Source organism: Homo sapiens, chromosome 4, assembly GCF_000001405.40.
Source record: "Homo sapiens chromosome 4, GRCh38.p14 Primary Assembly".
Classification (NCBI taxonomy): Eukaryota; Metazoa; Chordata; class Mammalia; order Primates; family Hominidae; genus Homo; species Homo sapiens.
Window position 1 is genome coordinate 117639357 of NC_000004.12, and position 25637 is coordinate 117664993.

The 25637-nt window shown below is 35.4% G+C and overlaps 1 long non-coding RNA gene across 1 annotated transcript in view; it reads left to right on the plus strand.

The window, feature by feature from the left end:
* LINC01378 (long intergenic non-protein coding RNA 1378) overlaps positions 1-25637 on the plus strand; it is a 260706-nt gene that overhangs the window by 210959 nt on the left and 24110 nt on the right. The window contains exon 3 of the long non-coding RNA NR_125757.1: positions 15451-15554. This is a non-coding gene — a long non-coding RNA (long intergenic non-protein coding RNA 1378). The remainder of the gene's footprint in view (positions 1-15450; positions 15555-25637) is intronic.

Sequence of the window (25637 nt, forward strand, 5' to 3'; positions counted from 1 at the left end):
TGGAAGGAAGATCTTGTTTAAGGACTTCATTTGATTTGCAGTATAGAAAAAAGAGTAAAAAAATAGTACTTGCATTAATAGATCTCCTTCATAAGCATGGTGCCATTGTGTATTAAAGAATTACATTTTCTATGCCAGCTTTTATATTATTGGGAATATAAAGTTTGTATTATTATTTGTTATTATACAGAAATAAAATAGACCTTCCTTACAAACGTACAGTGACAATGGCATATCTGATAGAAATACAGTGACTTATGAACTCTGAGGCCTCTAATATGCTGTCCAATAGAGACAAATTATTTATCAGGTAGCAATAGTAACAGTAGTCTTAGCAGGGGTAGATGTTGTCATTTCAAGGTTTGGTCTATGAACCCACATTCACATTCCCTGAAAATGATTTTCATTTAGATTTGCCAGCTTTGGAGTTGTTTTTTTCTTTAATGTACGAAAATGTGTAACATAAGTCAGAGAAGGGTTTTATGTCCTGTCCTGATAGAGATGCTGGTGTGTACTAAAATGAGTTATTATAGCATTACTAAATGAAATGAATAGAACTCTTGACATCAAATCTGTCCAAGTAGTTAAACAATAGTTAAACAGTGATATTGCAATTAATTTATGATAGAACGTTGTAAAATATATTTCTCCAGAATTTCCTCAGAACATTCTTTGGTTGAATTTTTTCTAATTTGTTTATTATTTCCTAGTATAGTTTCCATTGAGCATTTCTTCTTCAAAGTCCAAATATTTAAAAAATTATGTATTTATAAACAATGTTTAAAATGTTCCTCGTTAGTCATGAAATTAATTTTCTAGTATATAGTTATTAACCAGCATTTACACTCTTTCCATAAACTCCCTGGATGATTAAAAGAAAATGATGGATTATAAATTGGTTTTTAGTGCTTATAAATTGCATAAGATATAAGAGGTTATATAGCTGGTCTTTGTTTAGTATCCACTTTTATAATATCATTTTAATATTTAATGAAGAACTAATGCTTATGAAAATATTATTGTATCATTTATATTTTGATGTTATGGTCAGCTCCAACACTACTCACCTTTCGTCACCCTCAAATGCTTCCTTCAGAACCTAGCATTATATTCAACTTCTGGATCCTAAAGTACTCATCACCTAATATACATACCATAGTTTTACTCTCAGATTTTCACTTTATAATAAATTGTGCAAATTCTAGATTTGTTGCTTTATGACTTTTTGTGCATTATTTCAAGGATGGATGTTAATATGGCCATAAAAAAACAAAGAACATATTTTAAAATTATGTTGTATCTGTCCCACAATACCATACTGTGCCTCAGGAGGTGAGAGCTCAATGAATGTTTTTTTAAATAGCCAAAATATATTTTTAGCCAGCAACATGCTGGCTAGCGTTTTTCTAAATCAATTCTCTTCCCCCGAAAAAACAGAGACTCATTGATGTAAAAGGCTTATCCAAATGATAAATATGACAGTTCTACAGAGAAAAACAACACAATGATTAACAATTTAAAAATCAATCATGAAGCCAAATACTCCCTTCTTGGTATTAAAGAGATCTATGTGATCACAGCAACAACAACAACAAAAAAATCGGTTTGGTCCTAAAGATTTTGAAATCCCTGCAGCCCAGAAGTTCATTTAGCAGTGCATGTATGTGTCTCATGGGTGCCTTTGTACAACAAAAACACTGAATCAATTATTTCAGTTCTGTATGATTCAGCCTCACTCATGAAGCTGTGGCCTAAGTTTCCTTCTGCTTTCCTCCTGAACAAAAGTAATTCCTTCAACAGAAAAGAATCATATTTTCCATTTATTTTTTTCTAAGTATTAAAAAAAAAGTATTGATGCAGCCAAATTGCTACCTAGAACTTTTTTAAATTATAAAAAATATTTTATCTTCAAGTTTAAAATACATCTTACAATTGGTCACTCATGTAATTCTTTTTCTTTTTGTCTTTCTATTTTAAGAACTGAATGTATAGTACTCATTAAAATTCCTCATTTGTCAACCCTAGGAAAGAAGTTAATTAATTTTAAATCTAATTTCTGAAATGGAAGAAAGGAGTAGGGCAAAGAATAAGAAAGTAGAAGAAATAGAAGAATAAGAAAGTAATTCTTTCAATGGCTTATTTTAATAATATTTTAATATAAGTTGCTTCTGGCATAGTAAAACCCAGGGACATCAAAATCATGACAGAAAAAAAAAGTCACTAAAGAAATTGAGAATATTATCGAAAATTTTATCTGACATTTTATTGATTTGTTGTTTGTTTGTTTTGGTTTTCATTTTCAGTTTTGGAGAGTTTGGGGTTTTGTTTCATTTTTGCTGTAGGTTGTATTGAAACAGCCATAGCCACTAACGAGAGGAAAAATAATTTCTGTCTTCTGATTCAGTATTGAGGCAAGTGGGGGAAAAGCAAGTACCTTTTTCACTAGGTGACAGGAGAGAGGGGCAAGGGAAGGGGTAACTGCCACTTATAACTAAAATACACTGAACTAAACCAGCAGAGAACTTTGTAACCCCTGCGTCAGGGACTGCTTCATCAACAGAGATAAGTGAGCAGAGCAAAATAGCCCTGAGCAATGAGTGGGAATGAATGGCTAATGAAGAACTCCAGCTTGCAAGCATTCTTCATTCAGGGACAGTGGCACCTGTGCATATGTGTGTAATTGAAAAATTGTTCTTAGAGCTATACATCATGCTTATTGATTGGTATAAAGTAGTATATATATAAATTCATATCTACCAGTTTCAAAATAAGTTATCTTTTGATATAATATGACTACAGTGCTTACAAGTTGTGCATCAGTGCCAACTTACAAAAAAAGAGTTTCTCTCAAGTTTTTAAGAAAACCAAAAATAAAAGTCAATTTTACATGTAAACACAGTTTAAGGGAGTTATCTCTTTTCTTCTACCATTTTTGCTTTAACAAGTGAAAATAATAGTTTTCTCTGTTTTATTAAATTCATACATAGTTATATAATTATATTCATAAGTAAACATATAAAGGTGATTGTTGTACCTCTGTTTCTCAATTATCAACTCATAAAAAGCCTAACAATATTGGCTTCGGCAATCAAAGCCAGCCACTGTTATAAAGCAGGTATCAGCCAACATTTCCTTCTGCAGCACCTATCACATTCTAACATAATATTGGACTTATTTATGTGTTTATTGTGTATTTCTCTTCTTAGAAGGTAATTCCCTAAAGGTCAGGTTTTTATTTATATTTATTGAGAAGATGGCATTTTCATCTCCTCAAACGGTGCCTGTTATATAAATATTTGTTGAAGAAATATTTAAAAGAATGTCTAAGAAACTTTTGAAGGTCATTCATAAATATGTCTACCATGACTGGCAGAAGTTCTTATGTGGTCTAATATATCAATCAGTTTTCACACTGCTATAAAGATATTACTCGAGACTGGGTAATTTATAAAGAAAGGAGGTTTAATTTACTCACAGTTCCCCATGGCTGGGAGGACTCAGGAGACTTACAACCATGGCAGAAGTTGAGGGAAAAGCAAGTAACTTCTGCACTAGGTGGCAGGAGGGAGGGGCGAGTGCAGGGAAAACCGCCACTTATAAACCATCAGATCTCATGAGAACTCCTCACTATCACAAAAACAGCATGGCGGAAATTGGCCCCATGATTCAATCATTTCCATCAGGTCCCTCCTTGACATGTGGGATTACAATTCAAGAAGAGACTTGGTTGGTACAAAAAGCCAAACCATATAATCTAGTTACTTTCTGACTCAATTTTGCTAAAACAGTTAAATTATTAATAATTTCAAATTGCTCCATTCAGCCTTGATTCTTACCTTGTCAAAGAGTAGCCTTTGTGTTGTTCCCCCTAGAAATTTTACAGAGAAAATGACAAATAGAATCATTGAACAAGTATTTATTGGAAAATACATGATACATAGCAATTAATATTCCTCCTGCAGTGTGGATCTGCCATACAAGCTGGGAGGCCCTATGTCAATATCTAACACATGGTTAGATGCAGCATCATGCATCTTTCCTAAGGCTCTTAAGTTGGCCCCCACACCTGCAATAAAGCTGAAATTGGGAAGTTATTTGTATTCATAGATATAGCAGTAAATGGCCATTTTCTTTTCAATGTGCATACCCATGAAATTCAATGTTACCATATTTTTTATTTTATATTAAGTTTTTCATTTTTAATTATTATGGGTATACAGTAGGTAAATATATATATATATATATATATATATATATATATATATATATATATATGCATGGCAGTACATGTGATATTCTGATGCAGAAATACTATGTGTAATAATCACAACAGGGTAATTGGGGGTATTCATTACCGCAAGCATTTTGTCCTTTCTTTGTGTTAAGAACATTCCAATTTCACTCTTTTCATTATTTTAAAATATATAATAAATTATTGTTGACTGTAGTCATCCTGTTTGCTATCAAATACTGGGTCTTATTCATTGTAACTGTATTTTCATACACATTAATTATCCCCACTTACCCCACTACTCCCCAATACCCTTCCCAGACTCTGATAACCATAATTCTACTCTGTATCTCCATGAGTTCAACTGTGCATCAGAAAGATACCGTTAAATAACTTATTATATAAATAGGCTTTAATCTGACAACTTAATAAATTAAAGGATATATGAAAATTTTCTGGGTTCTGTTTGGTAAAGTAACAAAACAAAAACAAAAAACAAAAAAACAAAAATAACACATACTTACATTTTAGGTGTCATCCATCTACTTATTTTTTGAAATCCAAATATAGCAGGTAAACAAAATAAACAACAAATTTGATTTGAGGACAATTGGATTTAAAAGTAATTTTGTTTCTAAAAACTCTATATAATTATATTTTCTTCTAAAAAACCTATATACAGTTATTTTTAAGGCAATTATTTTATTTAAAAATATAAACATGGTCACCCAATGTCTTAGTCCATTTGGGCTGCTATAACAAAATATCTTAGACTAGGTAATTTATAAACAACAAACATTATTTCTCATAGCTCTGGAGGCTGTGAAGTCCAAGATTAAGATGCTAACAGATTTTGTGTCTGGTAAGAAGGTGCATTCTGTTCCATAAGTGGTGCTTTGTTGCTGTGTCCTCACATGGCAGAAGGGGCAAGGTATCTCTCTGGAGCTCTGCCTTCATAACCTCATCACTTCCCAAAGGCCTCACTCTTAATATCATCATGTTGGGGATTAGATGTCAACATACAAATTTGCAGAGGGACACAAACATTCAGACCATAGCATTAAAGGGTTATGAAGTGTTGTATGTTTCTTACCTTATAAAAACTTTAAAAATAAATCAATAAACAAGATATCAAGTTAATATAAATTTTTATGTGTCAAAGTTTATTGCTAAGAAAATGTTTCAGATGCATATTCCAATAATCCAAGAGGTTTTATAGTCATGCATTTTTTAACTATGCACACAAACATGTATCAGTTGTAGTTCTATAATATGCTAACATTCACTTTCCTGTAAAATAAATTATGCACACTATATTTTAACATAGGACCCTTAAGAGCAAAATTTGACAAGAGACTTGTTTTTCAACCTTTATGCAAAGTTTAACTTCAACCTGAAATGATATTTACATTCAGCAATGTAATCAATTCTATCAAAATCTATTATACTGGAAACAGTTTCATTGAAATGTGCTAGTGTAAATGGATTTCAAGATGTTTATTAAATGCCTCATAAGCTTCTTGGCACTACTAGAATATAATAACAGACTTAAAATGTTTAAGAGCTATGAGTCTACATAACATGAAGTAAAATATTTGCAATTATGGTAAAATCTCACTGAGTTATATATTTCTAATTAAAAATTTCCAACAATTTAAAATCATTGGTATGATGCCTGGGATGTTCTGGCTTCTGACCATAGTTTAATGAAAAAATACTTGTTAAAGAAGAAACAATTTATATATACAGAATTCTTGACATTGCATTATGACTACAAATTCCTTACCATAAAGTTGTTAACACAGTTGTTTAGATCATCTGAAGCACTATTAACATCACCATTGTTGTAGAAGTTGAATTAGGGTCTGTTATATACAAACTTAACATCTAATTTAGTAATGAAGCATTTTTTTTCTTTTATTTTAAATAAAGGGGTTACATGTACAGATGTGTTACGTGGGTATATTGCACTCAGATAGTGAGCAAAATACCCAATACATAGTTTTTCAACCCTTGCCTTCCTCCTTCTCTCAACACTAGTAGTTCACAGTGTCTATTGTACCTACGTTTATGTCCATGTGTGCTCATGGTTTAGCTCCTGCTTGTGAGAATATGTGGTATTTGGCTTTGTGTTCCTGAGTTAGGTCACATAGGATTATGACCTCCAGCTCCATCTGAGTTGCTGCAAAGGATATGATTTCATTTTCTATGGTTGCATAGTATTCCATGGTGTATAAGTACCACATTTCTTTATCCAATCCACCATTTATGGGCATGTAGATTGATTTCATATCTTTGCTATTGTGAATAGTACTGCGTTGAATATATAAGCGCATGTATCTTTTTGTTATAATAATCTATTTTTCTTTGGGTAGATGTCCTATAATGGGATCTCTGGGTTAAATGTTAGCTCTGTTTTAAGTTCTTTGAGAAATCTCCAAACTGCTAATGTACATTTCCACTAACAGCATATAAGCATTCCCTTTTCTCTTCAGCCTCACTAGTATCTGTTGTTTTGACTTTTTGATAATAGCTGACTGGTGTGAGATAGTATCTGATTGTAGTTTTGATTTGCATTTCTCTGATGATTAGTAATGATGAGCATTTTTCATATGTTTATTCTTTGCCCAAATTTTAATGGGGTTATTTGCTTTTTGTTTGTTGATTTGGTTAAGTTCCTAATAGATTCTGGATATCATTCCTTTGTCAGATGCATAGTTTGTGAATACTTTCTCCCATTCTGGAGGTTGTATGTTTACTCTATTTATAGTTTGTTTTATCAGGCAGAAGTTCTTTAGTTTAATTAGTTCCTACTTGCCAATATTTGTTTTATTACAACTTATTTGCAGACTTAGCCAAAAATGATTTGCCAAGGCTGATGTCAAGAAGGGTATTTCCTAGGTTTTCTAGGATTTTTATAATTTCAGGTCTTACACTTAAATATTTAGTTCATCTTCAATTAATTTTTGTATATGAGGAAAGGTAGGGGTCCAGTTTCAATCTTCTACACATGGTTAGCCAGTTATCCCTGCATCATTTATTAAACAGAGGGTCCTTTCTTCATTGGTTGTTATTGTTAACTCTGTTGAAGATAAGATTATTGTAGACATGTGACTTTGCTTCTGGTTTCTCTAACATGTCCCTTTGGTCTGTATATCTGTTTCTGTACCAGTACCATGCTGTTTTGGTTACTGTAGCTTTATAATATAATTTGAATTTGGGAAGTGTGATGCTTCCAGTTTTGTTCTTTCTGCTTAGGATTGCTTTGGCTACTTGGGCCCATTTTGGTTCCATATGAAATTTAGAATATTTTTGTTCTAATTCTGTGAAGAATGATGTTGGTAATTTGATAGGAATCATCTTGAATCTGTCAATTTCTTTGGGCAGTATGGCCATTTTAACAATACTGATTCTTCCAATTCATGAGCATGCGATGTTTTTTCATTTGTTTTTGTCATCTGTGATTTCCTTCAGTAGTGTTTGGCAGTTCTTGTAGAGACCTTTCACCTCCTTGGCTAGCTGTATTCTTAGATATTTCTTTTTCTTTGTGGCTATTGCAAGTAGGATTCCAATCTTGATTTCACACTCAGCCTAGACATTGTTTGGGTATAAAAATGCTACTGATTTTCCTACATTGCTTTTGTATCCTAAAACTTTACTGAAGTTGTTTGTCAGTTCTAGGAACCTTATGGTAGAGTCTTTAGGATTTTTTAGGTATAGAATTATATTGTCAAAGTATAGAGAGAGATATTTTGATTTCTATTGTCAGTGTATAGAGATAGTTGGATTTCTTCTTTTCCTATTTGAATGCTTTTAATTTCTTTCTCTTGCCTGATTGCTCTGGGCAGGACTTCCAGTACTACGTTGATCAGCAGTTCTGAGAGTGGGCATCCTTGCCTTGTTCCACTTCTCAAGGGGGATGGTTGCAGCTTTCGTCCATTCAGTATGAAGTTGGCTGTGGGTTTGTGATAGATGGCTCTATGTCTAGTCTGTGTAGGGCATTTATCATGAAGAGATGTTGAATTTTGTTGAAAGCTTTTTCTGCGTCTATTGAGATAAACATGTGGTTTTTACTTTTGATTCTGTTTATGTGGTGAATCATATTCATTGATTTGCATATGTTGAACCAGTCTTGCATCCTAGGAATGAGGTCTACTTGATCAAAGTGTATTATCTTTTTGATATACTGCTGGATTTGGTTTCTAGTACCTTGTTGAAGATTTTTTTTATCTATGTTCATGGGGAATATGGCCTGAAGTTTCATTTTTTCATTGAGTCTCTGATAGATTTTGGTATTAGGCTGATGCTGGCTTCCTAGAATTAGCTAGGGAGGAGCTCCTCCTATTCAATTTTTTGGAACAGTTTCAGTAGTATTGGTACCAATTCTCTTTTGTACATTTGGTAGAATTCAGCTGTGAATTCATGTGTTCCAGGAATTTTTCTACTTGATAGGTATTTTCTTCATTACTGATTCGATTTCAGAGCTTGATATTCATCTATTCAGGGTTCAATGTCTTCCTGACTTTAATCTTAGGAGATTGTATGTTTCCATAAATTTATTCATTTCCTCTAGATTTTCTTATTTATGTGCATAGAGTTGTTTTTATTACACTCTGAGGATCTTTTCTGTGTCTATGGGATCGACTGCAATGCCATCTTTGTCATTTTTTCATTGTACTTATTTTGGATTTTTCTACTTTCTCTTTGTTAACCTAGCTAATAGTGGTCTATCAATCTTGTTTATTTCTTCTTGTTTTCTTTGTTTTTTTTTTTGTTTTGTTTTTTTTGAAAGACTGAGCACTGATTTCATTGATCTTTTGTATGGACTTTTGCATCTCAATTTCATTTAGTTCTTCTCTAATTTTAGTTATTTATTTTCTTCTGCTAGTTTGGGAGTTGGTTTGTTCTTGTTTTTTCTAGTTCCATTAAGCACAAAGTCAGATTGTTAATTTGAGTTCTTCCTAAATTCTTTATGAAGGCACTCAGCATTACAAACTTTCCTCTTAACACTGTTTTAGCTGCATCTCAAATATTTTGTGTGTTGTGTCCCTATTTTCATTAATTTCAAAGTTTTTTTTTATTTCTGCCTTAATTTCAATGTTCACCCAGGAGTTATTCAGGAACAGGTTTTTTAATTAACATGTATTTGTGTAGTTTTAAGAGATCATCTTCATATTGATTTTTATTTTTAATACATTGTGGTCCAAGGGTGTTCTTGGTATGATTTCATTTTTTTATTTAGGCTTGCATTATGACTGAATATGTTGTTGATCTTAGAATATGTTCCATGTGCAAATGAGGAAAATGTATATTCTGTGATTGTTGGGTGGAGTGTTCTGCAGATGTCTATTAGGTCCAATTGGTCTAGTGTAGAGTTTAAGTCTGGAGTTTCTTTTTTAGTCTTCTGCCCTGATGATCCGTCTAATGCTGTCAGCGCGTGTCGAAGTCTCCCACTATTATTATGTTGTTGTCTAAGTTGTTTCATAGGCCAAGAAGAACTTGTTTTATGATTTTGGGTACTCCAATGTTGAGTACATGTATGTGTAAGTCTTTTTGTTGAATTCTGCCCTTTTGTAATTATGTAATGTCCTTCTTTGCCCTTCTTAATTTTTATTGGTTTTAAATCTGTTTTACCTGATATAATAGTTACTCCTGCTCTTTTGTTTTCTGTTTTCATGGTATATCTTTCTCCTTCCCTTTACTTTGAGCCTGTCTGTGGATATTGTTACATATGGGAAGGTCTCTTGAAGACAGCGTATGGTTGGGTCTTTTGTCTTTTTATCCAGTTTAGCACTCTATTCCTTTAAAGTGGGACATTTAACCCATGTCATTCAGGGTTAGTATTGAAACGTGAGATTTTGATACTGTCATGTTGTTACCTGGTTTTTATATAGACTTGATTGTGTGGTTGCTTTATAGTGCTTGTGGAATATGTGCTTAATTGTGTTTCTGTGGTAGCCGGTATTGTTCTTTCAATTCCATGTTTAGCAATTCCTAAGGACCTATCTATCATAAGGCTGGTCTTAAAAGAAATTCCACAAGTGTTTTCTTGTCTGAGAATAATTTTATTTCTCCTTCACTTATTAAGTTTCGTTTGGTGAGACACAAAATTCTTGGTTGGAAATTTTTTTATTTCTAATTATTTAAGGAAGATAAAAATAGGCTCAGAATCTCTCTGGTTTTTAATATTTCTGCTGAGAGATCTGCTGCTAGCATGATGGGATTCCCTCTGTACGTGACTTGACTCTAGCTGCTTTTAAGATTTATTCTTTTAAAATGTGGTACATATACCCCATGGAATACTATGTAGCCATAAGAGGAAACGAGGTTGGTCCTTTCCAGGGACATGAATTGAGCTGGAGACCATTAGGCTTAGCAAACTAATGCAGGAACAGAAAACCAAATACTATATGTTCTCACTTATAAGTGGGAGCTAAATGACGAGAACACATGGACACATGGGGGGAAAAACACACACACTGGGGCCTGTGAGAGGGCAGGGGGTGGGAGAAGGGAGAGGATCAGGATGAATAGTTAATGGATACTGGGCTTAATATCTGGGTGATGGGATGACCCGTGCAGCAAACCACCATGGTACGTGTTTACCTGTGTAACAAACCTGCACATCCTGCACATGTACTCCTAAACTTAAAAGTTGGAAATTAAACAAAAACAAAAAGATTTACTCTTTTGTGTTGACCTTAGTGAATCTGATGACTGTGTGCCTTGAGTATGGTCATCTTGCATAGGATCTAGCCGGGGTTCTCTGTATTTCTTGAATTTGCATGTTAACATTTCTAGAAAGATTAGGGAAATTTTTCTGGACTTTTCCACAAATATATTTTCTGAGTTATTTATTCTTTCTCCTTTTCTCTCAAGGATGCTGATGAATCATAGATCTGATCTGTTTATATAGTCCCATATTTCTCAAAGGTTTTGTTCATTTTTCTTAATTCTCTTTTTTTTTTATTACTTTCTGACAGTTGATTCAAACAACTAGTGTTCAAGCTCTGAAATTCTTTCCTCAGCTTGGCCTATTCTGCTGTTCGTACTTTCCATTGTATTATCAAATTCTTGTAGTGAACTTTTCAGCCCTAGAAGTTCACTTTGATTCTTCTAAAAATGGCTATTTTGTCTTTCAACTCTTGGATTATTTTACTGGATTCCTTGGATTGGGTTTCACCTTTCTCCTGAATCTTAATGAACTTCCTCATCATTCAGATGCGGAATTCTATGTCTGTCATTTCAGTCATTTCTGACTGGTTAAGAGCCATCACTTGGGAGCTAGTGGACTCATTTGGTGGTATAAAGACACTTTGGCTTTTTGAATTTCCAGAGTTCTTGGGCTGATTTTGTCTCATATGGGAGGGTTAGTGTTCCTTTAAGTAAGGTGTAAGCTGAGGATAGACGATTCGCTTTGTTTCTGCAGGTTTTCAGATGGTCCAGGCACTGCGCAGGGCCTTGGTGGCTGAATTCTTGCCCTTGGTTTCATAGGGAGAGAATTAACAGTGTATTTTTGTTGTTGTAGCTTGTGCTGCAATCCAGTAGATGATGCTTAAGAGTCATGGCCAGTAGATAAGCTTTTACTCAGCCATGTGGCTCCTTTTTATTTCCTGGCATTTGCATTCATGCTCTGCAGTGCAGTGGGGAGAGAGGTGATCCCCTCACCAAGTCAGCTCCTGGACAATGGAGGAGCCCCCTCCAATCACTGCCACTGTACCTTCATTTATTTTGTCAAGTATTTGGCCCACAGCACTTCCTCAGGCACAGGCATTTTCTGGGCCAGCCCTGAGAGGAAGGCATGCCCCACTCCCATGGCAGACCACACAATCCTGAGACTCAGCTTTCCCAGTGCTCTTACAGTGCAGCTCCTCTTCTGCTTAAGTGCCATTCACAAACCTCAGCTTGGCAATTCCAGGCTACCACCACAGCCTTGGGAGTAGCTCAGCCTTTTTTTCCCTCCCCAGCTTGGGGGCAGTAGGAGTAGGGACCCCTGTGGAAGCAATGTCAGAGAATTTGTCAGTTGCCTCTGGGGTCTCCAGTGTAGAGAAACATGGAACCATGGCTGATGGGAGTAATCAACCAAGGGTGTAGAGGCTACACTATGGGTCCCCCAAGCCAGGGGGTGCTCTGCCTGGTAAAGAGTGGGGGCACAAGGGCTCACAGGGAACATAGTCTGGTCTTCTCTCCTTACGGTGGCTGCAGTGTGCTAGAAGTACAAGCAAAGCAATCAGGTTCTTTGTTCCTCCCCTAGACTTAGAGGAGCCAGAGCCTATAGTGCAGCTGTGGCAATGGCAGAGTGGTTGTTAGTTGTCTCTGGGAGCTCCACCCAGCTGCACTGGGGGTCCAAGCTGGGAGGCCCTGCCTAAAGAGAAGCAGGGGCAGGGACTCAGGACTCATGTGGAAAACAGTCTGGCCACCTTTCTGTATGGCAGCTGCAGTGTGCTGGAGACCTGTGACAATTCTTAGGCTCTTTGCTCTCTTCCCAGCCTGCAGGCAGTAGCAGCAGGGACCATGGCAGCAGCAATGCAGCAGTCCTGTCAGTTACCTTTGGGAGCACCATCCCAGAGAAATGCACAGCTGCCACCAGCCAGAGTGCTTAGGCAGGGGTGGAATAGCTGCACTGGGGTCCCAGGCCAGTGGCCTTTCCTGGTGGGGTGCAGCAGAGGTGGGGTGTTTAATCCATCTACTCCTCAGCACCATGAATGCAGCCTCCATACTAGCGGCCCATGAGAGAGCCTGGCCTCTCTTGTTGGCAGGGCTACCATAGCAGCTGCTCAGGTGCTCAGAGATCCAAGAACCATGGGGCCCCAGCTGGGCTTGAGCAGTGTGTTTGCCCAAGCTTCAGGCAGATCTCTATGTCAGTCTAGAGGCCAAGGGCATCAAGGAGGATCTCCTGTGTCCAGGATTGCAAAGGTCTGTGGCAAAAGTGTGGATTTCCAGGGGCTCTCACTCACTTACCTTTCCCCACAGTAGGGAGCCTTCTCTGGCTCTGCATCAATCTTGGGTGGGCAGCTGTCCTGCCTTGCTCCTGTCTGCACTCCATGGGTCTCTGTTGCTTCCTTGATGAATCCCAACATGGCCTCCTGAACAATCCACTTGAAGATCTGTTTCCTCTCCACGAGAGTGGTGCACACTAGCTGCTTCTAAGCCAGCCATATTGGCACATTTTTCCAAAAATAAAGAATTTTAATGGAACATTTTATATAATTCTAAGAAATCTAAAACTCATAGCTGAATCCTTAATTTAGAGGCATTGGCTTTCAATAAGTGTTTAAAGTTAGTATATTCATGATTCATACGAGAATTAATGTTGAGATTATTTTAATATTCAATGAATTTATAGCCTAGAACTAAAATTACACTCTCCTTTTGCATTATACTAGTTTTTTTTGTTGCTGCTATAACAAATTACCACAAACTTAGTGGCTTAATACAACACAAATTTATTCTCTTGTAGCTCTGGAGTTCAGAATTCCAAAATGAGTCTTATAGGACTATGATCAAAGTGTTAGTAGGGTTGGTTCCTTCTGGAGGCTCTAGGGGAGAAGCTGTTCCTTGACTTTTCTAGTTTTCTTATCAGCAGTTGCATCACCCCAGCCTCTGCTTCCACACTCCTCTCACTCTCCTGCCTTCCTCTTCCCCTTGTAAGAACTCTTGTAATAACTTTGGAACTATCAAGATCATCCAGCATATAACCTCCCCACCTCAAAATGCTTAATTTATTCACATCTGCAAAATTCCTTTGCCACTTAACGTAACATCATCCCAAATTCTGAGAATAGAGGCATGGATCTTTTGTGGAAGACGGCTATTATTCTGCATACCATATATATAAAAGTGAACTTTATTTTAATTTTAACAAGAACATCATAGTTTTTTTAAAAAAAAAGAGTTAGTCTTTTTAATTATACTATTAAACATATTGTCATATTTCAAATTAATTTTTTCCTATCTGGCTGTATTTTTTCAGTTTTATTTCCTTCTGATTACTTCAGTTAATATGTAATATAAATATTATCCAATTGATAGCAAAGATAATAGCTATTTTAAGTTGATATATGACTTCAAATATTTTAACTGTGTGCACCATTTTTATTGTGTTTTAGTAATAATGTATCAGTTTCTGTAAATTACTACCTTTTTCAAGGGAAGAAACCTTAATAACTCACTGGAGACTTTTCCTTATTATTTGCAGCCAAATCACAACTTAGTCTGTACTTCAGATACCCTCTTCTTAACATGGGAACCCCATCTTTAGTAGCATAAAAGATGAAGTGAAGTGTTACTGTTAATTATTAAAACCTCACAGAAAATTCAGTTTCGTTAAAGTAATTCTATGCATTGGGTAGTGATTCTTCACAACTTGACCAAAAAATTAAATGTAGGATTTAGAGATGTTTTTTCCAATTCAGACAGATATATGATGATGTAATGAACATTCTCCCAGTAGAGCTGCAAACGAGAAAATATAAAAGAGAACATAGCTTATTATTTCAAAAGGAGGGGAAAGTAAAATGGTTTATCAATAAGCACAGTCTTTGTAGATAAGACATTTAAAATGCAGTGAGATTTTTATTGCTATCCTTAAAAGAAATGGAATGTACCTCCTCTCTAACTCCCTTGACTCTATCTCGTTCAAACATTATACATGGAAGAGTACACAAAGGACAGAGCTATAAAATTAAGGTGTTTTACTGCTCTTCATGGTTCATTGCTTGCAAGGCAGCATCATTGTTTCTATTAGGGAGGAGAAAGACTATATAAGAAGCAGTCATTCTACTTGTTGTTGATGCAAAGACTCTTTGGGGTTATTTAGATTTCTGCAATTCACAATGCTGGAGTCAAATCGACCTCTGGCAAATGAATTAATTAATTCCAAAATGAAATTTAGAATTTGCACACATCCTTCCCAAAACGACACTTGCCTACCACTCAAACAATTATCTGTGAGTGGTGTAAATCTGTGCCTAGCTTAATACCAGCAGTTCATTTTAAAGAAAACTTTATTTTTCCAGTGGTAACAAGTTTAAAATCTATTATTCCTGATATAAGATTCCTACAATTTTAAGAATTTTAGTCTTTATTAATAGAAGCATGTATTTAGCACAACTGATATGTATAAGATATAACATGATACTTGAAACAAATCAGTAATATGCTGTATTGGTCATGTCTTATCTGGAGTATTGTATTTAGCAATAAACCTCTTTTTTCAGTCTCGAGTATAAAGAAGAGGATGAAGGCTTAAGCAGGAAACTTTGACAGCTCCAAAGACCTTAATCCTTATAAAGAAGTAATGAAGTTTCAACTTTGCACTCAGGTAATGTTTCTGTTTAGAAAAACATTTGAATATTTATAATTATTTGCATGGGCAACCTTATGAAACAAAAACTATATTAAATTCATATAGCCCTTAGAGTTCAAATGCATTTTAACATCAATTTCCTTTAACCTTCCTTACTTCCCCCAAGGGGAGACAAAGCAATGATTGTCCTCATGTTATATATAAGGAAAATAAACTAAGGCAGATTAAGATTAGGATTCATTTGCATAATATCACACAACAAGGGGGAGACTCATATCTCAAATGCTGACATTCTTATTCTGTCATGTGTTCTGTTCATTGGATCACAGTACTCTCTGGGAAATGTAATATTAAGGTCAGTATTTAACTATATACAATATGTAAAATGAAATGCAGAGAATAGAATGGTGGTTATCAAGGGCTGATGGGGACTCAAAATGGGGAGATTCATTCAATGATACAAAGTTTCAGTTAGGAGAAATAAGTTTTTGGAGTCTACTGTACAGCAGGGTGCCTATAGTTAACACTGACACATTATATAATTGAAGATTGCTAAGACTAGATTTTTTTTAATTTTTGTATATATATATTTTTTATTATTATTATACTTTAAGTTTTAGGGTACATGTGCACAATGTGCAGGTTAGTTACACAGTATACCTGTGCCATGCTGGTGTGCTGCATGCATTAACTCATCATTTAGCATTAGGTATATCTCCTAATGCTATCCCTCCCCCCTCCCCCCACCCCACAACAGTCCCCAGAGTGTGATGTGCCCCTACCTGTGTCCATGTGTTCTCATTGTTCAATTCCTACCTATGAGTGAGAACATCTGGTGTTTGGTTTTTTGTCCTTGTGATAGTTTACTGAGTATGATGATTTCCAATTTCATCCATGTCCCTACGAAGGACATGAACTCATCATTTTTTATGGCTGCATAGTATTCCATGGTGTATATGTGCCACATTTTCTTAATCCAGTCTATCATTGTTGGACATTTGGGTTGGTTCCAAGTCTTTGCTATTGTGAATAGTGCCACAATAAACATTCGTGTGCATGTGTCTTTATAGCAGCATGATTTATAGTCCTTTGGGTATATACCCAGTAATGGGATGGCTGGGTCAAATGGTATTTCTAGTTCTAGATCCCTGAGGAATCGCCACACTGACATCTACAATGGTTGAACTAGTTTACAGTCCCACCAACAGTGTAAAAGTGTTCCTATTTCTCCACATCCTCTCTAGCACCTGTTATTTCCTGACTTTTTAATGATTGCCATTCTAACCGGTGTGAGATGGTATCTCACTGTGGTTTTGATTTGCATTTCTCTGATGGCCAGTGATGGTGAGCATTTTTTCATGTGTCTTTTGGCTGCATAAATGTCTTCTTTTGAGAAGTTTCTGTTCATATCCTTTGCCCACTTTTTGATGGGGTTGTTTGTTTTTTTCTTGTAAATTTGTTTGAGTTCATTGTAGATTCTGGATATTAGCCCTTTGTCAGATGAGTAGGTTGTGAAAATTTTCTCCCATTTTGTAGGTTGCATGTTTACTCTGATGGTAGTTTCTTTTGCTGTGCAGAAGATCTTTAGTTTAATTAGATCCCGTTTGTCCATTTTGGCTTTTGTTGCCATTGCTTTTGGTGTTTTAGACATGAAGTCCTTGCCTATGCCTGTGTCCTGAATGGTAATGCCTAGGTTTTCTTCTAGGGTTTTTATGGTTTTAGGTCTAACGTTTAAGTCTTTAATCCATCTTGAATTGATTTTTGTATAAGGTGTAAGGAAGGGATCCAGTTTCAGCTTTCTACGTATGGCTAGCCAGTTTTCCCAGCACCATTTATTAAATAGGGAATCCTTTCCCCATTGCTTGTTTTTCTCAGGTTTGTCAAAGATCAGATAGTTGTAGATATGTGTCGTTATTTCTGAGGGCTCTGTTCTGTTCCATTGATCTATATCTCTGTTTTGGTACCAGTACCATGCTGTTTTGGTTACTGTAGCCTTGTAATATAGTTTGAAGTCAGGTAGCGTGGTGCCTCCAGCTTTGTTCTTTTGGCTTAGGATTGACTCAGAGATGTGGGCTCTTTTTTGGTTCCATATGAACTTTAAAGTAGTTTTTTCCAATTCTGTGAAGAAAGTCATTGGTAGCTTAATGGGGATGGCATTGAAAGTATAAATTACCTTGGGCAGTATGGCCCTTTTCACGATATTGATTCTTCCTGCCCATGAGCATGGAATGTTCTCCCACTTCTTTGTATCCTCTTTTATTTCATTGAGCAGTGGTTTGTAGTTCTCCTTGAAGAGGTCCTTCACATCCCTTGTAAGTTGGATTCCTAGGTAGTTTATTCTCTTTGAAGCAATTGTGAATGGGAGTTCAGTCATGATTTGGCTCTCTGTTTGTCTGTTATTGGTGTATAAGAATCCTTCTGATTTTTGTACATTGATTTTGTATTCTGAGACTTTGCTGAAGTTGCTTATCAGCTTAAGGAGACTTTGGGCTGAGACAATGGGGTTTTCTAGATATACAATCATCTCATCTGCAAACAGGGACAATTTGACTTCTGCTTTTCCTAATTGAATACCCTTTATTTCCTTCTTCTGCCTAATTGCCCTGGCCAGAACTTCCAACACTATGTTGAATAGGAGTGGTGAGAGAGGGCATCCCTGTCTTGTGCCAGTTTTCAAAGGGAATGCTTCCAGTTTTTGCGCATTCAGTATGATATTGGCTGTGGGTTTGTCATAGATAGCTGTTATTATTTTGAGATATGTCCCATCAATACCTAATTTATTGAGAGTTTTTAGCATGAAGGTTTGTTGAATTTTGTCAAAGGCCTTTTCTGCATCTATTGAGATAATCATGTGGTTTTTGTCTTTGGTTCTGTTTATATGCTGGATTATATTTATTGATTTGCGTATATTGAACCAGCCTTGCATCCCAGGGATGAAGCCCACTTGATCATGGTGGATAAGCTTTTTGATGTGCTGCTGGATTCGGTTTGCCACTATTTTATTGAGGATTTTTGCATCAATGTTCATCAAGGATATTGGTCTAAAATTCTCTTTTTTGGTTGTGTCTCTGCCAGGCTTTGGTATCAGGATGATGCTGGCCTCATAAAATGAGTTAGGGAGGATTCCCTCTTTTTCTATTGATTGGAATAGTTTCAGAAGGAATGCTACCAGTTCCTCCTTGTACCTCTGGTAGAATTCGGCTGTGAATCCATCTGGTCCTGGACTCTTTTTGGTTGGTAAGCTATTGATTATTGCCACAATTTCAGAGCCTCTTATTGGTTTATTCAGAGAGTCAACTTCTTCCTGGTTTAGTCTTGGGAGGGTGTATGTGTCAAGGAATTTATCCATTTCTTCTAGATTTTCTAGTTTATTTGCGTAGACGTGTTTGTAGTATTCTCTGATGGTAGTTTGTATTTCCGTGGGATCGGTGGTGATATCCCCTTTATCATTTTTTATTGTGTCTATTTGATTCTTCTCTCTTTTCTTCTTTATTAGTCTTGCTAGCGGTCTATCAATTTTGTTGATCCTTTCAAAAAACCAGCTCCTGGATTCATTAATTTTTTGAAGGGTTTTTTGTGTCTCTATTTCCTTCAATTCTGCTCTGATTTTAGTTATTTCTTGTGTTCTGCTAGCTTTTGAACGTGTTTACTCTTGCTTTTCTAGTTCTTTTCATTGTGATGTTAGGGTGTCCATTTTGGATCTTTCCTGCTTTCTCTTGTGGGCATTTAGTGCTATAAATTTCCCTGTACACACTGCTTTGAATATGTCCCATAGATTCTGGTATTTTGTGTCTTTGTTCTCATTAGTTTCAAAGAACATCTTTATTTCTGCCTTCATTTCGTTATGTACCCAGTAGTCATTCAGCAGCAGGTTGTTCAGTTTCCATGTAGTTGAGTGGTTTTGAGTGAGTTTCTTAATCCTGAGTTCTAGTTTGATTGCACTGTGGTCTGAGAGACAGTTTGTTATAATTTCTGTTCTTTTACATTTGCTGAGGAGAGCTGTACTTCCAACTATGTGGTCAATTTTGGAATAGGTGTGGTGTGGTGCTGAAAAAAAATGTGTATTCTGTTGATTTGGGGTGGAGAGTTCTGTGAATGTCTACTAGGTCCGCTTGGTGCCGAGCTGAGTTCAATTCCTGGGTATCCTTGTTGACTTTCTGTCTCGTTGATCTGTCTAATGTTGACAGTGGGGTGTAGAAAAACCGGAAGCTCTAAAAAGTAGAGCGCCTCTCCTCCTCCAAAGGAACGCAGTTCCTCACCAGCAACGGAACAATACTGGATGGAGAATGACTTTGATGAGTTGAGAGAAGAAGGCTTCAGATGATCAATCTACTCCAAGCTACAGGAGGAAATTCAAAGCAAAGGCAAAGAAGTTAAAAACTTTGAAAAAAATTTAGACGAATGTACAACTAGAATAACCAATACAGAGAAGTGCTTAAAGGAGCTGATGGACCTGAAAGCCAAGGCTCGAGAACTACGTGAAGAATGCAGAAGCCTCAGGAGCAGATGCGATCAACTGGAAGAAAGGGTATCAGTGATGGAAGATGAAATGAATGAAATGAAGCGAGAAGGGAAGTTTAGAGAAAAAAGAATAAAAAGAAATGAACAAAGCCTCCAAGGAATATGGGACTATGTGAAAAGACCAAATCTACATCTGATTGGTGTACCTGAAAGTGACGGGGAGAATGGAACCAAGTTGGAAAACACTCTGCAGGATATTATCCAGGAGAACTTCCCCAACCTAGAAAGGCAGGCCAACATTCAGATTCAGGAAATACAGAGAATGCCACAAAGATACTCCTCGAGAAGAGCAACTCCAAAACACATAATTGTCAGATTCACAAAGTTGAAATGAAGGAAAAAATGTAAAGGGCAGCCAGAGAGAAAGGTCGGGTTACCCACAAAGGGAAGCCCATCAGACTTACAGCAGATCTCTCGGCAGAAACTTTACAAGCCAGAAGAGAGTGGGGGCCAATGTTCAACATTCTTAAAGAAAAGAATTTTCAACCCAGAATTTCATATCCAGCCAAACTAAGCTTCGTAAGTGAAGGAGAAATAAAATCCTTTACAGACAAGCAAATGCTGAGAGATTTTGTCACCACCAGGCCTGCCCTAATAGAGCTCCTGAAGGAAGCACTAAACATGGAAAGGAACAACCGGTACCAGCCACTGCAAAATCATGCCAAATTGTAAAGACCATCAAGGCTAGGAAGAAACTGCATGAACTAATGAGCAAAATAACCAGCTAACATCATAATGACAGGATCAAATTTACACAAAACATTATTAACTTTAAATGTAAATGGACTAACTGCTCCAATTAAAAGACACAGACTGGCAAGTTGGATAAAGAGTCAAGACCCATCAGTGTGCTGTATTCAGGAAACCCATCTCACATGCAGAGACACACATAGGCTCAAAATAAAAGGATGGAGGAAGATCTACCAAGCAAATGGAAAACAAAAAAAGGCAGGGGTTGCAATCCTAGTCTCCGATAAAACAGACTTTAAACCAACAAAGATCTAAAGAGACAAAGAAGGCCATTACATAATGGTAAAGGGATCAATTCAAAAAGAAGAGCTAACTATCCTAAATATATATGCACCCAATACAGGAGCACCCAGATTCATAAAGCAAGTCCTGAGTGACCTACAAAGAGACTTAGACTCCCACACAATAATAATGCTAAGAGTAGATTTTAAATGTTCTCAACACACACAGAAAAATTAAGTACATGGGGTAATAAATATGTTAATTAGCTTGATTTAATCATTCCACAATATAGGCATATGACAAAACATTACATTGTACACCATAAATCTGTACAATTTTTGTTTTTCAATTTAGAAAATATAAAAATAAAAAATAAAGACACACATATAAAGCACATTGCCTACCATGAGGAAGTAGAGTGAAAAAGCAAAGTCACTGAAAAAAGATTGCCTCACCTTAAATCCCCACCCTCCCAATTACCAACTGTTTCATCATGTGTGAAATGGTTTTAATACCACCTATTTTACAGGGTGTTTTGAGGAATACATGAGTTGCTAGGTTGTAAAGTACTTTGCTGTGAGAGCTCTATCAGTGTTAATGAACGTAAAAATCTTTTATTATCTGGTACATGGAAGACACTCAATAAATATTAGCTGCATAAACTCTCCAACATGGAGTGTTAATTCAGATGATGAATTAATATATTTGTCATGTAGAAAATATTCTAGAAATGCAGGGAGTGAGAGAATAGTGAAATTTTGAACAAGCAAACTTCTGAGTTCCTTTGTGAAATTCTACAAATCACTGCTTTGTAGGGAGTCATACAGATAGATATCCTCTCCTAAACCAAGTATGTTCTTTTCCCATAAACTCCCATTCCATATGGGTCTAATCTGTATCCAACTTGCAATTTAATGGAGTGGCTAAATGTGCATGCTACCATAAGCCTCAGTAGATAAGAAGAGAGTTATAGCTATAATTATATATTTGTGATTTCCTGTTGTAGCAATTTCAATACTACAACAGTATGTTGTAGTATTTATATGAATTTACATGATTTTTTTTTCTAAATCTTATTTACTGACATATGGATAATGTGACTTCACTGCAAAGATTTTCCTAAAATATTCAGTTTTGTACTTCATATCATTTCCAAGTTTTCAGACTATGCATTCCATCCTGGTGAAAATCAATTCTCCATATTTGCTTTAGTGTTCATAGAGAATGAAATTCACAGAAAAAGAATTAAGTTAACATATTTCACTAGTACAATCTAAACCAAGATAAATTAGATGCATCTTTTCCTCTAGGCAGTGGAGCAAAAGCAGACTGTAATTTAGTCACAGTGCATATCTAGAAAAATTTACCATTTGTAAATATGTCATAATCTAAGAAAAGGTGGATCTACTATAGTATTTTACAACTTTAATACTGTCTTATGTGTACACAAATTTATGAACTGGATACACTATGTTCTCTACTAGGTTCACAGTTTTATCTATGCTGCAAATTTATTTCTTTCAATATGAGCTGGAGAATGATTAGGCTAAGCCAACAAAATATAATCATCTACTATGAACTAACTGCAGTTCGCCATTACCATGTTGGCGCCTTGAACAGAGGTTAGACATTTTTCAAATTGTTTTATTACTTTGTTGAAAAAATTAGTATCTAAGCTGATGTAAAAGAAAAAGATACCTATAAATTATTGACAATGGAAGATCCCTGTGTAAATCTGCAAATCTGTATTATGCATAAAGTGGAATGTTTTCCATTTCCAAAAATAATTTTTGATAGCTGATCAGAACAAAGTAGTTTACTCCCTTTCTTTTTTTCTCATCATTATTCTTATAATCTTCTATTGTTCATAGTCTTGTTGATTTATTACACGCATGCATCTCTTTTTAAACAAATATGAGGAATATGTTTTGTATAATAAATTCCATACACTTAAATATTAAACTTTGACAAATGTAACAGACATGCATTCCTTTAAAATCACCACCAAATTTGAGACACAGAAATCTCCTCCAAGAAGCTCCTTGTTCACCTTGGCTTTCTATTTATCATGCCATCATTCCCAAAAAAACATGACTACTTTTTCACTCTAGATCAATTTGCATTTTCTACAATTTTATGTAAAGTTTATACAACATACATTCTTTTTATCTGATTCTTCAACTTCAATTTAACATGATTTTAAGATTCGTCATCATAGATGACCTATGTATCAGTAGTTTATTCCATTTTATTGCTGAGATGTATTTCATTGTATGGATATATCACAATAGCTTTAGCTATTTACCAGCTGATGAGCATTTGTGTTGTTGCCAGTTTTGACTATTGAAAAAAAATCTGCTGTGAACATTTGTAAACAAATGCTTCTATAGACATATTTTTATTTTATAGGGGTAAATGCCTTTGAGTAGAATAGGTGGGTTATACGGTAGGTATATGTTTACTTTTATTAGAAACTATTAAACTATTTCTCATGGCTGTACTATTTATATCACCATTCACAGTGTAACAGATTTTTAAATTTCTGCATTTTTGCTACCTCTGATTTTATCACTCTTTTTAATTTTTGCCTCTCTACTATGTATGCATTTAATTGTGGTTTATTTTGAATTCCCATGATCATTAATAATTTGAGCATCTTAGTCATTCTTAACTCTCTATAAAGTGCATTTTCAAATCCTTTGCTCATTCTATTGGATTTATCTTATTTTTAAGTTTTAAAAGTTTTGTATATACTCTGAATAAAATCTAGTTGTCTATATACATGTTGTTAATATTTGTTCTAATCTGTGGCTTGCTTTTATGTTTTGTTAGTGGTATCTGTCAAAGAGAAAAATATTTCATTTTTGAGAAAGTCCAGGTCAAGCCCACACAGATATTTTCTTACATTTCCTTCCAGGAGTTTTATAGCATTACCCTTCACATTTAGGCAAATGATTTATTTTGAGTTAATTTTTGTATATCAATTTGAAATAAGGTTGATATTTGTTATTTCCATAAGGTTATCCTACTGTTACAGTAAATATTTTTGAAGACTATCCTTTCTCATTAAATTGCCTTATTGTCTTTGTTGTAAATTAATTGACCATATACATAGTATGGATCTAATTTTTCAATTTCTTTCTTGATATATATCTTTTCATATATATATATTCTAATATGTATATCAAAAAATATTTTATTGTAATTACCAACAAAATGCAGCAAGCAACAACATAAAATTCACGATGTCCAACAACAAAAAACGATTACCAAGCATGCAAAAAACAATAAATATATCTATAATTAGGAGACAAATCAAGTAATAGAAACAGAACCAGAAATACGTGGAGAAAATTTGAAGACAGCGATGTAAAACATCTAATATAAATATGCTCCTCTTTATGATTGAGAGTGTAGAGGAATACATAAGCATGAGAAAGTGGTAAATGAGATATTTTTAAAAAGAGAGACCCCAAATAGAACTAGATATGGAATAAGAATATAATAAATGAAAAATATGCAAGATGGGATTAGCAACAGATTAGGCAGTACAGAAAAAAATGATCACTGAATTCAAAGATAAAACAATCAAAATATTCAAATGGAACCATTTAAAAAAATAATGAACATAATATGTGGTAAAATGCTGGTCTAGTGTTTATGCAACTGTAGTCCCAGAATGGAGTGGGTGAAGGGGTAAGAGTAGTAAAAAGAAAATATTTGAAACTTAATAGCTGAAAATTTCCCAAATTCGATGAAGAATATAAGCCCACCACTCCTATAAGCTCAACAAACACCATTCAGGATAACAATTAAAAATGCCTATCTTTCAACAATGAAAGCAAAAGAAAGCTTTATCTATTTATTCATTTTATTTATTTATTTTTGAGACAGAGTCTCACTTTGTCACCCAAGCTGGAGTGCAGTGGCATGATCTCAGCTCTCTGCAACCTCTGCCTCCTGGGTTCAAGCAATTCTGATGCCTCAGCCTCCCAAGTAGCTGGTCTACAGGCATGCACCACCATGCCTGGCTAATTTTTATATTTTTTGGAGAGACGGGGTTTTGCCATGTTCTCCAAGCTGGTCGTGAACTCCTGACCTCAAGTGATCCGCCCACCTCGGCCTACCAAAGTGCTGGCATTATAGGCTGGAGCCACCAAGCCAGGCCAGAAACCCTTTTTAAATCAACACAAATGTGAAGATTTCATTTCCATCAGAACTCAACTACAAGAAATGTTAAGGGAAGTTCCTCAGGCAGAAGGAAAATGATACCATATAAAAATGTGAGCTACACAGGAACTGAAGAACAACAAAAATTATAAGAATGTGGTGAGATGTAGAACAAAGTTTTTCTTGTTTTAATCTCTTTAGAAGATAACTAACTAGTCATATTAGTTGTTGGCAGGAGGCCTTAGTTCCTTGCCACATGGTCCTCTCTATAAGGTTGCTTGAGTGTTCTTACAACTTGGCTGTTATCTTCCCACAAAGCAAGTGATCCAAAAGAGCGTATGTGAGGAAGAAACTGCAATGCCTGGTATAACTCCATCCAAAAGTCATATATACTTTCACTTTCACCACATTGTAGTCATTGTATGTGAGTCACTA